This window comes from Homo sapiens, chromosome 7 (assembly GCF_000001405.40).
Source record: "Homo sapiens chromosome 7, GRCh38.p14 Primary Assembly".
NCBI classification, from domain to species: Eukaryota; Metazoa; Chordata; class Mammalia; order Primates; family Hominidae; genus Homo; species Homo sapiens.
This window is the reverse complement of record NC_000007.14, coordinates 141,485,834-141,501,462: the sequence shown is the minus strand read 5'-3', so window position 1 is coordinate 141,501,462 and position 15,629 is coordinate 141,485,834. Positions and strand designations below refer to the sequence as shown.

Genomic DNA, 15,629 nt, shown 5'->3' with positions numbered 1-15,629 from the left:
ATCATCCCATTTATACCAATAGTGAAAATATGAGATCATGTAGATAAGGAGAAGACTATAAAATGTGGAGAGAATGTGGATTCTAGGAGGTTCTTGGTGGTAGTACGTGCTCTGTTGACTGAATTTTCACTCTCCTTTTTTTTTTCTCCTAATAAATTTAAGATTTCACCTGATTCTTGGCCACAAAGTTTCAAGGGAACCAGAGCTAATGAAGACAGCATGGAAGGGCACCGCCGAGACCTACCTGTGGGAGTCCACCTCACCCTCAAGAACAGCTACCATTTTAACACAGATGGATAAACCCCATGAAAGTGAACTTCCTAAATGCAAATTCTGATCTTGAAGCCCCAGCTGGCACATCTACTGGAGACCCTCCCAAGCAACAAGATGTAGATGCTTTAGAGATAACAAACTATACAAGTTGTCTTCCATTCTTTCTCCTTCCTCTATTTTCAACACGGATAAAATACATATATATTTATCTTGCTGAGCTCAGTAGGATTATTTAGCTTTATTTCCATGGCTGCCTTTTCTTAATGTAATAGAATTTCCAATCGAGCTTATTACTTCCTTCCGTCACAAGCCTGAGGTCCTTTCACACCCATCCTGTCCTTGGCAAAGATCTTTGGAAAGTAGCCTGGGACATACCTAGTGGTAAGCCACCTGCTCTGGGTTGAGGGTGGATCTATTCTAGTCAGAGGCTTTGTGATCTGGACAAAGGAATTGAGTATGTGGCTGTCAAACTGTCAGGCAATACTAAATTTGGCTGGCCAGCTGAATTCTAGCAGAAAATCATGCAAAATAAGGTTTAGCAATTGGGGAAAAATGGCCCACAGGAAAAACAAAGGGATGAAATTCCGTAGGACTACACGGCCATAGAATTCTAACTTGAGGGCTGCAACCAGCTATGTGACCTTGTAGTACAAGGACCAGTCTTCAGATACAAAATAGAGTTTGGAGTTAAAGGGATCTTTGAGAAGAAGCCATTATCCACCCCCTCCTCCCAATTTTATATGCCCTAAGAAAAAGGTTTCTTTCAACTTAGAAAGGTATGATTCTTGAAGTGCACTTCCTCCGAGTTTTCCTGAGCCTCTCAATCAAAATGACTTGCACCTGCCCATCCATTCCCATTGGCTTATGCTCCTACCCTGCAGTATTGGCTTCATTATGCCTCACCTTGTACACCTGTCTGATTCCTCTCCTAGATTATCAGCACCTTGACAATGGGCTCGTATCTTGTGTATCCCTGAATTTCCAGGGACAATGATAGTGCCTGCCACATAATTGATGGTCAATAAATTTTGGTTAAATAGTAACAAGAAACTCCCATTTAAAAAATGTGTTATCGTTATCATTCTCAATCTGGATGCTCTCCTCTATACACAGTTTTATTCAGTAACTCTCTTAAAATTGTAAAGGTGAGAAATTGAACACAGTTTCCCAGGTCTTTGAGCAGCACGAGATACAGGGAGAAAAAAAATGCTTTGTGCTTGAATACTTTACTTCTGATTGGAGAAAATAAACACTGCACTGGATTATTTTTAAAGATACATCACATTACGTTTGTGATCAACTGAAATGCTAAGATATTTGCATGTGGATTTCTGCCAAGCTGCTTTTCTCCCATTCTTCATGTGTGTGATTGATCTTGAAATCAAATGGTGGGACTTTATATATTTTTTTGTTTTAACTCAAGGTAAAGTCTGACAAAAATCACGTTAAATTTGATGCTGTCAGTGAAGACATTAGCAATCCTTCCTGGCTTAAGGTCACTGGCAAATTTGATATACTTATCTTTTGTGGGGTTTTTTTGTTGGTTTTTTTAAGACAGGGTCCCACTCTGTCACCCAAGTTAGAGTACAGTGGCTTGAAAATGGCTCACTGAAGCCTCGACCTCCCAGGCTTAAGCAATCCTCCCACCTCAGCCTCCTGAGTAGCTGGGACTACAGGCATGCACCACAATGTCTGGCTGAATTTTTTTTTTTTTTTTTTTTTTTTGTAGAGATGTGGTCTTCCTATGGTTCCCAGGCTGGTCTTGAACTCCTGGGCTCAACCAATCCTCCCACCTTGGCCTCCCAAAGTGCTGAGATTATAGGCATAAGCCACAACATGCAGCCGTCTTTTCCGTTTTTATCCCACTCTTTGACAATGTTGGAAGGATTAGGACTAGCTCTAATAAGAGTCACCCCCTTCATATTGGGTAATCAACCAACAGCTAGAAATGTACACTGAAATACTACCAGACATCCCTTATTTTACCATCTTATCCACAAAGATCTTACAGATGACATTTTAAAAACATTGTCTAAAGCACAGAAATACTTTTAAGCACAGTAGCCCCTGAAGCTTGCCAGCCAAATAATCTATTAAAACTTAAATGAAACAAGGCAAGTATGGTGCATGCGTATGGTGGCTGTGGTACTGGTGGCATGCTTTTTTAAATTCTACAGTCTCCTCCAACCACCCTCTGCTTTTTAAGTAAGTCTAATTTAGCATATGCCTTGGCATTCATATTAGGCTGACTTTCCACGACTGGCATCCCATCTGATGGCTATCTCCAATCTTATTTATCTCTTTCATGATTCCTCAAAAATTAATAACTGTGACTTTGAGACTATAGTACAAGTTCTTTAAACATCCACAGATAAAGTTATTTAGACTTGAAAATAAACTTTTTGAGGTTGGCCTTAATAAGGGTAGGAGAGCTCTCCTGGATTCCTCGCTTTAGTGGCAAGCGTCTGCTGTCAGAGACTGATTACTACTCTTCTTCTGATTTTTGTCCAATGCTAAAGGATGAGGCAGTGGAACAGACTTTGTCACCTTAAACATCTTTAACTATCAAACACAGCCACCTGGTGAGAAGCTGCTTATCTTCATCTGAGGAAGCTTTAAACCTTTTCCCTAGTTGACTTGAAGATTCTATACATCTTGGTATTCTTCTGTTCTTTTGAGGCTGAACATATTAAGGCCATGAATGATTCCCATGGTATAAAGAGGCCAAGCTAGTTGTCACAAGATGCCAAGGACTTAGAAGAAGGAGACCTTCCAGGTCAAACATGCCAGAATTAGAGGTGAAGGCCACAGGGCAGACTCACTCCTTCCCTGATCATAACTCAAGCTGCTATCCTGAGAAGACGGTGCCAAACCAGGAGGCAACTGGAAAATATTCTGATGGGGGAAGGAGTTTTCCTCTTATTCCTATAGTCCCTGTTCAGAATGTAAGCCTTGGAATTGGTAGAAGATATCCATGTTCTTGTTTCCATGAGGTGTCAAACATAATGAGATTAATAAAATATCCTAAGATTTAGAAAACCAGGTCAGGCTTTGTCTCTTCCATCTGACTCTGGAACTCCAAAAGTCCATAAGCTTTCCAAAAGGGGACTTATTGCAGGGTGAGGTATTAATGCTTGAGTCTTTAAAAGGTAGCTTAGAGATAAGGTAGTGAAATGGCCTCCTTTCACAGGTAAGAAAACTTGCCCAAGCTCACACAGTTATGAAAAAAACTGAGCTTGCCCTTGAACCCAGGGCTTTGCAGCTTCAGGCTCCATTCTTTTTAAGAGGCTGCTGCTGCTTTTGTCCATGAGTTGTAGTTGCTCCGTCAGCCTTTATTTCTGCTCCTTCCAGTTTGAAGATGTTTTTTCTTTCTAGACAATAGTCAAAGAGAAGGATTTGAATAACTCTGGCTTCTGCTAATATCATGCCGCAGTTTCTAAGAGTGGGAATACAGAAAGTGGTAAATTTAGAGACAGGGAAGCCAGTCATGGAAAATCAGGGTTGAGGAGGAGAGATTTGGCACAGGTGTAACACGAAGACAAGAGAGGTCATGCTTGACCACAGACGGAGGGATGCAGCAGTGGACTGCTATTGCTGAAAAGCCAAAATGATACCAGACTGTATTTATAGAAGGATGACATGCAAAGCCCACGAAGCAATCACTAGGCTACAGTCTATATTAGATCTCTATTCAATATGATGCTCAGTTTGTCACACTTGGAAAAGAGAGAGCCCAAAGGGGGTAACAAAGTAACGGAAAATCACAACTTAAAGTTAAGGAATTTGGGTTGCTAAAGGCAACCATTTTCTTGGATTCCATCCATTGTCTGATTGCTTCAACAGGCAGGAGGAAAGAAAGGAGAAAAGGGAAGGAGAGTTGTCTCAGCCAGAAATTTCTCTCCAACCTTCTGGCCTCTCAGCATAGAATTTTAGAAGCACGTTCTGCCTCCTCACCTTCTGGTCAAGGTAAAGATCCCCTGCCTGAGGTCTCTCTCTGTGAAAACTTGCAGCCTCTCACAATCAGATCTTATTAGGGATGGCTTCTCTACCTGTGTGTGCAGGGCTCTTACTGTCTAAGTCATCACCTCCACCGCTGGCTACAGGGACTTCAAGAGCAAAACTGGTTGAGCAGCCTCAGGCTCAAGCCTGCAGCCCCACACTGACCACAGCAATCTCGTAGCCTCTACCTGATTTTTGAACTTGTTTTCAGCCTGTATGTGAAAGATCTTCTCCCTGTCTTCACCAAATCTCTGTGGGAGTCTGAACCACTACCACCTTACCCCCATACTGAGATGCTTTCTTTATGTATCAGTACATTGAATACAATGGGGAAATATATAGGTCAAACACAGAGACTCAACATTGACTTCCAGAAGTGAAAAACTAGGATTCTTTTGATTTTAGACCATTTTTTTTGCAGTAATTCCATATTTTGGAGAAACATAGTGATTTTAAAATGATTCCTCTGTCATGTCTTCTTTTCCCTTCTACAGAGGTTTTTTTTTTTTTTTTTTTTTTTTGAGACGGAGTCTCGCTCTGTCGCCCAGGCTGGAGTGCAGTGGCGGGATCTCGGCTCACTGCAAGCTCCGCCTCCCGGGTTCACGCCATTCTCCTGCCTCAGCCTCCCAAGTAGCTGGGACTACAGGCGCCCGCCACTACACCTGGCTAATTTTTTGTATTTTTAGTAGAGACGGGGTTTCACCGTTTTAGCCGGGATGGTCTCGATCTCCTGACCTCGTGATCCGCCCGCCTCGGCCTCCCAAATCTACAGAGGTTTTAAGCTTCTTTTAATCTCTCCTGAAGAAAGCAAAGGAAAGAAAGCTGAAAGAAAGACATGCCAAGGAGAAAGATCCTTATATGGATCACATACCAGGTTCTCACAGGCCACTGACAGCAAGGGGAAAAGTTCAAGAGCTGGCCTCCTCCATCTTGCCCCAGGAGAAATCCCTGGGAAAAATGAAAAGACACTGTGTCCCAACTATAAGGGGAAAATTTCAAGAGGCCACATCTCCAGTGACTGACACTGGGGGCCAGGTCTTCATAGGAGCATGTGCTTAGCTTGCTCCATCTGGCCCCAGAGCTTAGGAGCTCTTTTTGAGAGAGCTCTGGGGCCCACAGGTCCAAGGAAGTGCTGGGCACTGCAGAGAATGGCCGAATCCCCAAGTTCATGCCACCAGAATTGCAAAAGATCAAGTATGTAAACATGAAGAGGCTGTGAATGGTTAGGAACACAGTCTTTGTGGACAGACACACCTGGATTGAATATTGGCTCTATCAATTTTCTTCCCCCAGTCCAGGGCGACTCTCAACTGTGTCTAAGGACAAACTCACATACCTTCTGGAAACTGCTAGTCTCCTCTAAGATCAAACTTACATGTCTGGTGTTTTTTGCTTAATGGTTATCTTGTACGTCTTTCTATAACCAACACACAGAGATGGACCTTGGTTGTTTTAGTGACTATATGGTATTCCACTATATGACCAGATTTATGTTTGCCATTTTCCAAGAATGAATGCTAAGTTGTTTATGATGTTTGCTATAGCAAACAATGCTGCAATGAATATCTTTGTATAAGTATCTGTATATAAATATAACTGGGGCAAAATTTCCAGAAAGGGAATTTCTGCAAGTGCCTTTCAAATCTTGATATTGTCAAGTTGTCCTCTAAAGCACCCCCACCAATTTACCACCCACTAATGGTGCCCAAGAAGGCTTCTCTTTGATAAGGCACTAAGAAAGAAGAATGAAAATCATGTTGAGGAAACTAAAAATGTCTTTTGCTATTCTTTAACACACCAGCAAGGCATTGTTGGTGCTATTTTAGGGGTCCTTGGGTGCTGACTCCACTGAAGATGAGAGCACGGTTGTGCTTTCCTCAGAGGGGACATCTGTCAGAATCTGGGCATATTTTTGGCAACCTAGTGACATGCTCCCTGCATTTCTAGTGGACTCTTGGCTTCCCTCAGCAATGACCCATTTGTGGCTGAATATTTAGCTGGTCTCTTAATCCCCATGTCTGCTCTGAAATCTATTTTGGGATTTGACATGTTGGTCCCCTGCAATAACTGTGAGATGCAAATCCCAAAATCAGGATCTTATAGTCTGTTATTTGGAAAGATGTATGAGGAAAACATGGTTTTTATTTTTACTATTTAATAAACTTTACTTATGGGAAATTCAAACATATATAAAAGTATAGAAAATCATGTGATGGTGCTCCCACCACCCGGCTTCAATAGTTATCAACTTATCACCTATCTTGTTTTTCTGTACCTTAACCAATTCCTCACCTCCTATATTATCGTGAAGCAAATCCCAGACATCTTATCACTTAACCCATAACTATCTCAGCGCCTACATTTAAAATATAAGGTCTCTTTAAAAACATATACTCATGCTATCATTAACACTCCTAAAATAATTAACATAATTTTTTTGTTTGTTTGTCTTAGAGACGAGGTTTTACTACATTGCCCAGGCTGGTCTCAAACTCCTGAGCTCAAGCGATCCTCCCACCTTGGCCTTTCAAAGTGCTAGGATTCTAGGCATGAACCACTGTTCTGGGCTGAACAATAATTTTTAATATACTCAGTGCAGTTGGTGTTCAAATTTCCAATGGCCTCATAACAATTTTAATATGATTTTTTAAATGTTATGAAAGCAAATGTTCAGAGTTGGGAGAACTGAGTTCAAGTCTCAGATTTGTCTCTTTCTCCTTGGGTGACTTTAGATAACTCCTCTGACTTCATTGCCTCTTTTTCTTAGAATTTTAGGGCTAAAAAGGACATATAAATCTAAAAATTTTCAGATGGTGTTGAGGATGAGAAGAAAGGAATAGGAAAAAGCCTGTTGCAATAACTGAAATCAGAATCAACTTTTCTATAACTTGTATATAATAGTTATAAAGTCATTGTGTCCACCGAATTCAATAAAAGTTACAAAATCTGTCTACTCTTATCTCTATAAAAGAGAAATGGCAGAGTCAGGGGATCCTTATCTTCTCCTCTTGGTAGATAAGTACTTTCCAAAATGAAGTAGAGATAGAAGCTACTTTCATTTTAAGGCACATAATCTTAATATAGTATTTGTTTTAATCTCACAGATACTCCTTTAAAATAATCGTGTTAGTTAGAAAACTGGGAAATGGGGAGGGGGGAAAGGAAGAAAGAAGTAAGATTTGCCAGTGATTCTGGAAGTGAAGCAAGGCCATTGGTGGCTCTAATATCACATGAGATAATGGATGCATACATAGGTTTTCAAGAGCCATGAAATTTTTATCAGAGAAATGAGGCTCACCAGGTGGTTCTAAATCACACCCAGTATTTTCCCTACTGAATTTGTATTGGCAGCAATTGTATTTCTAGAGAAAAATGTATATTCCATCAAAATCTAGAAGACCAGGTGAAGGAAGGGAAAATAGCCAAATGAAGATATGCATTGACAGGAAAGCAAAAATATTACTAAAAACTCTTGGAAGATGAAAAAAAGAGACCATTGCCCATCTCTTTTCCTTGCTTCATGTTCACGTCAGGGCAGCGGAAGGTGATGGAGCTGGTGGTGTAACAGGATGGAGGAGAAAATGAACAAAAAAATTACCTGCAGTTCTCCTTGTGGTTTGGTGAAGACAGAATTGAGAAGATCTTCCTGGACTGCAGCCGCAGGTGGGCTCCAGCTGCTAGGGATGCCATGTGTCTCTATTTTCTCCATGAGCTGGATGCTTTAGTAGAAAAACAGTTTGGGAAGGATGAGGGGTGGGTACTTTCTCTCTCTTGTGAAGTCAACAGTCCTCAAGGTTTGAAGAGGTTGCATTTCTGCTGTTCCAACATCTGTAGGGCATCGTCTCTGTCCTTCGTCAGAACACAAGTGCGCACACATCTGGACTCAACATCTTCTCACTTACACATAGCAAGGGCTCTAACAACCACCTGTCTCTGTTCAAAGATCACAGGCCAAGAGTCTGCTTCTTCCTGAGGGTCGTGAGGAGGGGAGAGACTGCGGAGGGGAGTTGGGGTTGGGGAGATGTCACACAGACAACCTGCAGAGGACTCAGGTGGATTCTGGGGAGACATGTACCACCAGTGTTCTCAGCTGCCCATGGCTGGTCAAGAGCAAGATGGAGATTCACAATTACCTTGGCAACCAGGTAACAGGCAGAACCGTTACTTGGCAATTTCCATTACATTTCCCTCTTTTCCCTACAACTGCAACACACACACATCAATATTTATTCCCCCTTTAATAATCCTCTAAGATCACCAGACTCTTTGTTGTAAGGAAATGAGGCAAAATGAGGAAAACAGTGAGATCTAAGATGTGGAGAAGGAAAATACATTTTTGAAGCACAGGTGGGAGGTGGTGGTTTGAATGGGCCACCTCTCACTGGGGACAAGAGAGAGAGGAGTCAGGAATGGGGTTTGTGAGAACAGGAAGAGGGGGTGGTTAGCAGCTCAGCTCTAATATCAGGCAGTTGATGTGCTCGTTGTTTCTAGGAACCACAAAAATGAAACGAAGGTGGAAGGAACAAGCAGAATTTATTCCCATTTTCATTTCTGTCGTTCCCACCTCTTTTCAGAGGTCCTGTTACGGAAACTCGCCTTTAGCGGTCCATATCTACGTGGTTCCTAGTAGGTGCTGACCTCCTTCCTTTTATGTATTGATTCCACACACATTTCGCAGGCCAGTATGTGCCAGGCATTGTGCTAGGCTCAGGGGCTGCAGAGTTAAAGACAGAGTCCCTGCCCTTGTGGAACGTAAGTTTTTAGTGGGAAAGGCTGACAAAAACAAATGAGCAGACAAACAACATAATTGCAAATTAGAATAAAAGTGCATTGCAAAGCCAGGGTCCGATATTAAGACTAAGAGAGAAGGATTTACTTTTGTTTGGGGGATCAGGGAAGGCCTTTGAAGAAGTGTCATGTAAGCCAAGATCTGAAGGATGATTAGGAGCGAGGGAAAAATGGGGAGACTGTGCGCAGCAGAGGGACCACATGGGGAGATTGAGAGGTCAGGACATGCTGGCATTGCTAGAGGAACTGGAATTAGACTGAGGTGGTGTCAGATTAGTGCGTTAAGGAGAGGTAGGCAGATGAGGATCAATAATAGGGAAGGTCAGAAGAAATAGGGCCTTGAAGGCCTCAGAAGGCATGTAGATTTTCTTCTTGGTACAACAGCAGGCCATTGAGTGGTTTTCAGCCTAGGAGTGCTGTGATCAGATGTGTATTTCATTTCAATATGGCTCCTGGGCACAGACTGAATGGGAGGGTGTGGAGTGGGAGGATGCAGATTGCTGATGACTGTGGTGGTCCAGGGGAGAGATGAGGAGGCAGGTGAAAGGGCACGCGATGGCATTCCTGCAACAGGGCCCAGGCTCCAAGTGCTTTTATGTTTTGCTTGTTTATTCTCTTTAGTAGGGAAAAAACCGATATACAATAAAACAAAGTGGTTAAGATGCAGGCTCTACAGTCAAAATCTGACATGACCCCCGCTTCCTATGTGACCTTGGCAAATTACCTAAACTCATGTCTGAAAAATGAGACTTGGTATAGAGATTGAGAGAGACAATTAATGTAAAGTGATTGGTATATAGTAAATGCTCGAAAAATGGAAGCTCATGTTATCAGTCACTGAAAACTTCAAACTGCCCAATTTCAGGTCAAGTAAAATTATAATAGGGTGAACATAGGGAGTGTTTTCCCTCAATAAAAATATGTCTTTAACAAAATAAGAAGTTTGGATTTATGAAAAGAATCTAGAGAGAGCAAATAAAAGGTAAATTTAAAGATGTTTAAGGATTTTGAAAATATAAACTACATGGTGGCAAGGAAAATACATTATGATCATTAAGAATATGAGTTTTGGCTGGGCTCAGTGACTCACACATGTAATCCCAGCACTTTAGGAGGCTAAGGCAAGAGGATCACTTGAGCCCAGGAGTTTGAGTCCAGCCTGGAAAACCTAGGGAGACTCCATCTCTACTAAAAATTAAAAACAAAAATGATCCAAGCATGGTAGCATGCTCCTGTAGTCCCAGCTACTCAGGAGGCTGAGGTGGGAGGATTTCTTGAGTTGGGGAGGTCAAGGCCGCAGTGAGCCATAACTGCACCACTGCACTCCAGCCTGGGCAACAGATCAAGACCCAGCCTCAAAAAAAATAAAAAAGTAAAAAATAAAAAAGAGTATGAGTTTTGGAGCAGACAGATCTGGATTTTGAATCCTAGGTTTGCTACATACCAGCTGTGTGAACCTCAGAAATGTCACCTAACCTCTTTGAGCACATTTTCTCATCTGCAAAGATAGCTAATAGCCATGCTTTCTGCATAGAGACATGGTGAGGAGTGAATTAAAAAACACATTAAAGGGCTTTCTTGGCATGAGGCCTAGGACCTAGCAAGGGTTCAGTAAACGGGAAGCTGCTGAAGAAAGGGAGCAACCTTATGCTGATGTGTTAGGGGTTAGGAGACCCATCTCCATAAAAGGGAAAGCTTCTTTGAAATGACAAAGGCATCTCTGGAGAAGGAGATTCCACACTGTGCTTCTCTACACACTCAATAGGTGTACGAGCTTGCTGGGGCTGTTGTGACAAAGTACCACAAAGCAGTTGGCTTAAACAACAGAAATGTATTGTCTCACTGTTCTGGAGGTGTTGGCAGGGTTGGTTCCCCCTGAGGCTGTGAGGGAGAATCTGTTCCATGCCTCTCCCCAAGCTGCTGGTTGTTACTGGCAATCACTGGGGTTCCTTGGCTTATAGATGTGTCACCTGGCCTTTGCCTTTATGTTCATCTAGCATTCTCCCTATGTGCACGTCTCTGTGTCCAAATTTCCTCTTTTTACAGACACCATTCATACTGAGTTAGGGGCCAAGTCTAATTACTTCATCTTAACTTAATCATCTGCAAAGACCGTATTTCCAAATAAGGTCACATTCTCAGGTACTGAGGCTTAAGGTTTCAACATTTTTTGGAGGGACACAATTCATAGTAATACCAGCACTGTTTCCTTGTCAGAGTATGAAGTTAGTCCAGGCTTCCACAGCTAGTGTGGAGGCTGGGGAGGGAGCGGAAGACCACGGCTGATTCTTCACAGATGGACTCTGCAAATCATCTCTCCTAGGAGCCCCTCCTCACTAAGTCAAATACTCCCAAATAGGCAACAGCAGCTTGCTTGAGGGCAACCAGACAATCGCATCCATGTGTCCACTCTAACACTTGTAGCAACCCCTATACAAATGAGCAAGCATTAAGCTTTGCTTCCTGTGTGCTCTCTTCACCTTCGTTGGGATTCAGCCTTGAGATTGCACCACTGGGCCACTGTGAATATTGTCCAGGTTGTGTACTGCACAAATCTAGAGGATGTTATTTACATTATAGTCTATTTTGTACGAAAGCATGCAAAAATCTTGAGCCCTCATCTAATCCCTACACCTCAGTTTTTCTCAACTGCTTTCCCACAAGTTTCCCAACTGAGTATTCAGGTTTACTTCTGTTCTGCTGGTAGAACACGGGAAAATGTGTGTGCCTGTGGCAGCGGGGAGGAGAGAGACAGAGAGAAAGAGAGAGACACACACATGAAGGGACTGGGGAGAGAATGAGAGAGAGACACACATGAAGGGAGTGGGGAGAGAAGGAGGGAGGGAGATTGAGAGGAGGAAGGAAAGAGAAATGAGGGAAGTAAGAGGTCACAATACAATAACCTGTATATAATCCTTCAAAATCGCTAACAACAGGAAAAGCAGCACTTTAATGATGGCTCTGATAAGGAAATTCATTAAATGATGGAGAAGAAGCCAACCGGCAGCTTAGCTATTGGCAGAACCATTGTGCTAATTATTAAGGGACAAAGGGGGGCAAAATGAAAAGTGGAGCTTCACTGTTATGCACTTGAAGGCAAGATGCAGGATTTAAAACTGAGATGGGCTTCCAGATCAAGGCTGGAGCTGCTGCTCAAAGTCTGGCCTCTTTTCAAGCTGAAGTATTTTGATGTTGAAGCAGGAAGATGATAAGAGATGGAAGGATGAAGTATTCAGCACAAAGAAGAGAATGCCCCTGATTTTTACAAGCCAGTATGTAAAAACACTTATGCTGTGTATTCGACATGATCACAAATATTTTAACAACCAGAAAAAAGTATGTCAAAATGTTAATGGTGGTTATCTTTAGGTGGTAGGATATTGCAGATGCCCCCTACTTCTTACTTCTTTCTCCTCCTCCTCCTCCTCCTCCTCCCTCCTCCTTCTCTTTCTCCTCCTCCTTATTCTTTTGCCTTTTCCTTATTTTCTCCAACGGGGGAAAAAAATTAAATTTAAGAGTCCTTTGGTTTTTTAAATTGCAGTTCTTAGTGCAGATAAACTGACATCTTTTTTTTTTTTCTAAAATGACTTAAAAGTCTTTGCATATTTTAGTTTCAGAAAAGTCTTCAGTATCAGAGGAACTGGGTTGTTCCAGAAGAAAATGCAGGCCGGGCGCGGTGGCTCATGCCTGTAATCCCAGCACTTTGGGAGGCTGAGGCAGGCAGATCACGAGCTCAAGAGATCAAGACCATCCTGGCCAACATGGGAAAACCCCGTCTCTACTAAAAATGCAACAATTAGCTGGCCATGGTGGCATGCACCTGTAGTCCCAGCTACTCGGGAGGCTGAGGCAGGAGAATCACTTGAACCCGGGAGGCAGAGGTTGCAGTCAGCCAAGATTGCACCACTGCACTCCAGTCTGGTGACAGAGCGAGACTCTGTCTCAAAAAAGAAAAAAAGAAAAAAAAAAGAAAATGCATATTCCAAGCCATGCAATATCCAATAGGATGAATCCACACTTGGCCTCCAAAATAGCTAAGGATAGATTTTATTTTTGCTTAGTCCTAATTTTAGTGTAGATGAAGCTCAATCCTTCAGCATTTGAAAGTTATATTAAAAGGCAGACCTCTGGGGGCTAGAAACCAAATTCTCAAGCTTGGAGAGCTAGAGTACTTTCTGAAGGCCATTTTGTTTTTATGACCATTTGGTTCAGAATTAATGAGAACTACTTTGCATAAGCATCATTTTACCTTCTAAAGCAGTGCCTTATGGAGATTCTTCCCACTCACCTTGTAGATATAGATTATCAAAGTTTTTTTTTTTTTAGGTCCCAACCCTTCACTGTTCTAGTATATGAACCTCAGAGATAATTATCTTTTAAGGCCTACAATTTTAGAGCATTTATCAGGTTATTAAAACCACCAATTATGGTGGTAAACACCCAAGGAATTTGGATACTGCTGAAAAGATTAAGAGAACTAACTCCAAAGATGCCACTGCGGGGAAGGAGCACGCAGAACAAGAAAAGTTTGTCTTAATTGAACGTTTATATTTTTACATTTTTTGAAATGTTTCCTTTTTCTTCTCAAGCAGAGATAATCCTTGTGAGCAAGGGAGGTCGTGAAGTCCACAATTTTTTTTTTTTTTTTTTTTTTTTTTTTTGAGACGGAGTCTTACTCTAATCACCCAGGCTGGAGTGCAGTGGCGCCATCTCGGCTCACTGCAACCTCTGCCTCCCGGGTTCAAGTGATTCTCCTGCCTCAGCCTCCTGAGTAGCTGGGACTGCAGACATGCGCCCCCACACCAGGCTAATTTTTGTATTTTTTAGTAGAGACGGGGTTTCACTATGTTGGCCAGGCTGGTCTTGAACTCCTGACCTCAAGTGATCTGCCTGCCTCGGCCTCCCAAAGTGCTGAGATTACAGGTGTGAGCCACCGCACCTGGCTCAAAGTCTTTTAGGCCACTAAAATGATTTGTGATTCCTGAAGTACACAACAATGGAATTCCATTGTCGCGGATGGAGAACACGTGTTAATACAGAGGGCAGAAGACCTTTGGCGGACTGGGTTTTACTGTGCCAGATAGGCTAATTCCATTCAAAAATATACTTGAATACCAGTCTCAGTGGTTCACTTTCAGGGCTGAAAGGAGACAAAGGAAACTGCATGTCCCTTGGTAGGTCCGTCTCTTACTAAGAAGCTGAGCTATAAGGAAGAAAAGGGTAAAAAATGGCTCAGCAGCATCACAGTGTGGTGAAAACCCCAATTTGAGTCCCACAGTTTGTGTAAACAGCATGTTGGCATGAAGTTGCAGCGAACATTTGACTTGGAATGGGCTCTGTTGCTCTCTTCCCCATTCCTCCTCCCTCTGCTTGTGTTCCTAAAGTCTGACCCAGGGACCACAGCATCTGTGTCCCTAGAGTGCAGATCTTTCCCCATACCCTCATCTCCTTCTGGTTGTTATCAGAATGTCATCTGTCCCTATTTAAAACCACACGCTTAGCACCTCCATTCCTTTTCCCTGATTTGTCTTTTTTTCCAGATAACGTATTACGATATTGACTACTACTTATTTCATTACCGGTCTCTCCCTACCCCACATGACACTGTCAGCAACTTCAGGGTAAAGATTAGTTTGTTCTGGTCAATGCTCCATCCCCATAACCCAGGACTGTGCCTGACACAAAATATGTGCTTAAAAAACAATTCTACTTATAAGTAGTGTTTGTTCTTTTTGCAATTTTTTCTTGTAGCTTAAAGGCCATGGAGGGGGAGAATTACTTACTTAGTCTTAACCCTATATAGCACATTGCCAAAATTTAAAGAGTAGTGTAGGGAACCAAGGGACCAAAAGCTAAGGAGTCCCCCACCCTAGGCAACCCCTTGTTCCAAACCTCAGTGACAACACAAGATGGACTCTGAAGGTATATGAAAGACTCATTTCACAGTCATTTCCACCTCACTGGGGGCAGACAGGGTCCTGAAGCAGGGCTCTTTTTTAAAATTTGTGTAAATTTGTGGGATACAAGTGTAATATTGTTACATGCATTGATTAGCGATGAAGTCAGGGCTTTAAGGGTATCCATCACCTGAATAATGTACATTGTACCCATTAAGTAATTTCTCATCATCCACTCCCCTCCCACCCCCTCACCTTTCTGGGTCTCCGTTGTCTATCATCCTGCATTCTATGTCCATGTGTACACATTATTTAACTCCCACTTATAGGTGAGAACACATGGTGTCTGTCTTTCTGCATCTGACTTGTTTCACTTAAGATGACAGCCTCCAGTTCCATCCATGTTGTTACAAAAGGTATGATTTCATTCTTTTTATGGCTGAATAGTATTCCGTTGGGTATATGCACCACCACATTCTCTTTATCTAATCATCTGTTGATGGACATGTAGGTTGCTTCCATATCTTTGCTACTGTGAATAGTGCTGCAGTGAACATACAAGCTAAAGCAGGGTTCTTTATTGGTCCCCTAACACAACTGAGAGATTGAAGTACATTGTGAATGTAGAGGGAGTCCAACTGCAGTCCCAGCCACCGGACAGGGGATGGAACT

At 42.3% G+C, this 15,629-nt stretch overlaps 1 protein-coding gene and 1 long non-coding RNA gene across 2 annotated transcripts in view, besides 2 other annotated features; one reads left to right on the top strand and one right to left on the bottom strand.

Moving 5' to 3' along the window:
• AGK-DT (AGK divergent transcript) overlaps positions 1-1,323 on the top strand; it is a 51,205-nt gene extending 49,882 nt beyond the window's left edge. The window contains exon 6 of the long non-coding RNA NR_183408.1: positions 163-1,323. This is a non-coding gene — a long non-coding RNA (AGK divergent transcript). The remainder of the gene's footprint in view (positions 1-162) is intronic.
• Positions 1-15,629, bottom strand: part of TMEM178B (transmembrane protein 178B) — a 437,233-nt gene that overhangs the window by 9,834 nt on the left and 411,770 nt on the right. The window lies entirely within an intron of this gene.
• Positions 2,748-2,948: a silencer, noted in NCBI's record as "peak6797 fragment used in MPRA reporter construct". NCBI's record gives its function as "represses an SCP1 promoter by STARR-seq MPRAs in K562 erythroleukemia cells {active_cell/tissue: K562}" and the evidence as "EXISTENCE:reporter gene assay evidence [ECO:0000049][PMID:32103011]".
• Positions 10,472-11,025: an enhancer, noted in NCBI's record as "OCT4-NANOG hESC enhancer chr7:141190238-141190791 (GRCh37/hg19 assembly coordinates)". NCBI's record gives its function as "activates a minimal SCP1, AML or CMV promoter by ChIP-STARR-seq in naive H9 embryonic stem cells {active_cell/tissue: H9 hESC(naive)}" and the evidence as "EXISTENCE:reporter gene assay evidence [ECO:0000049][PMID:30033119]".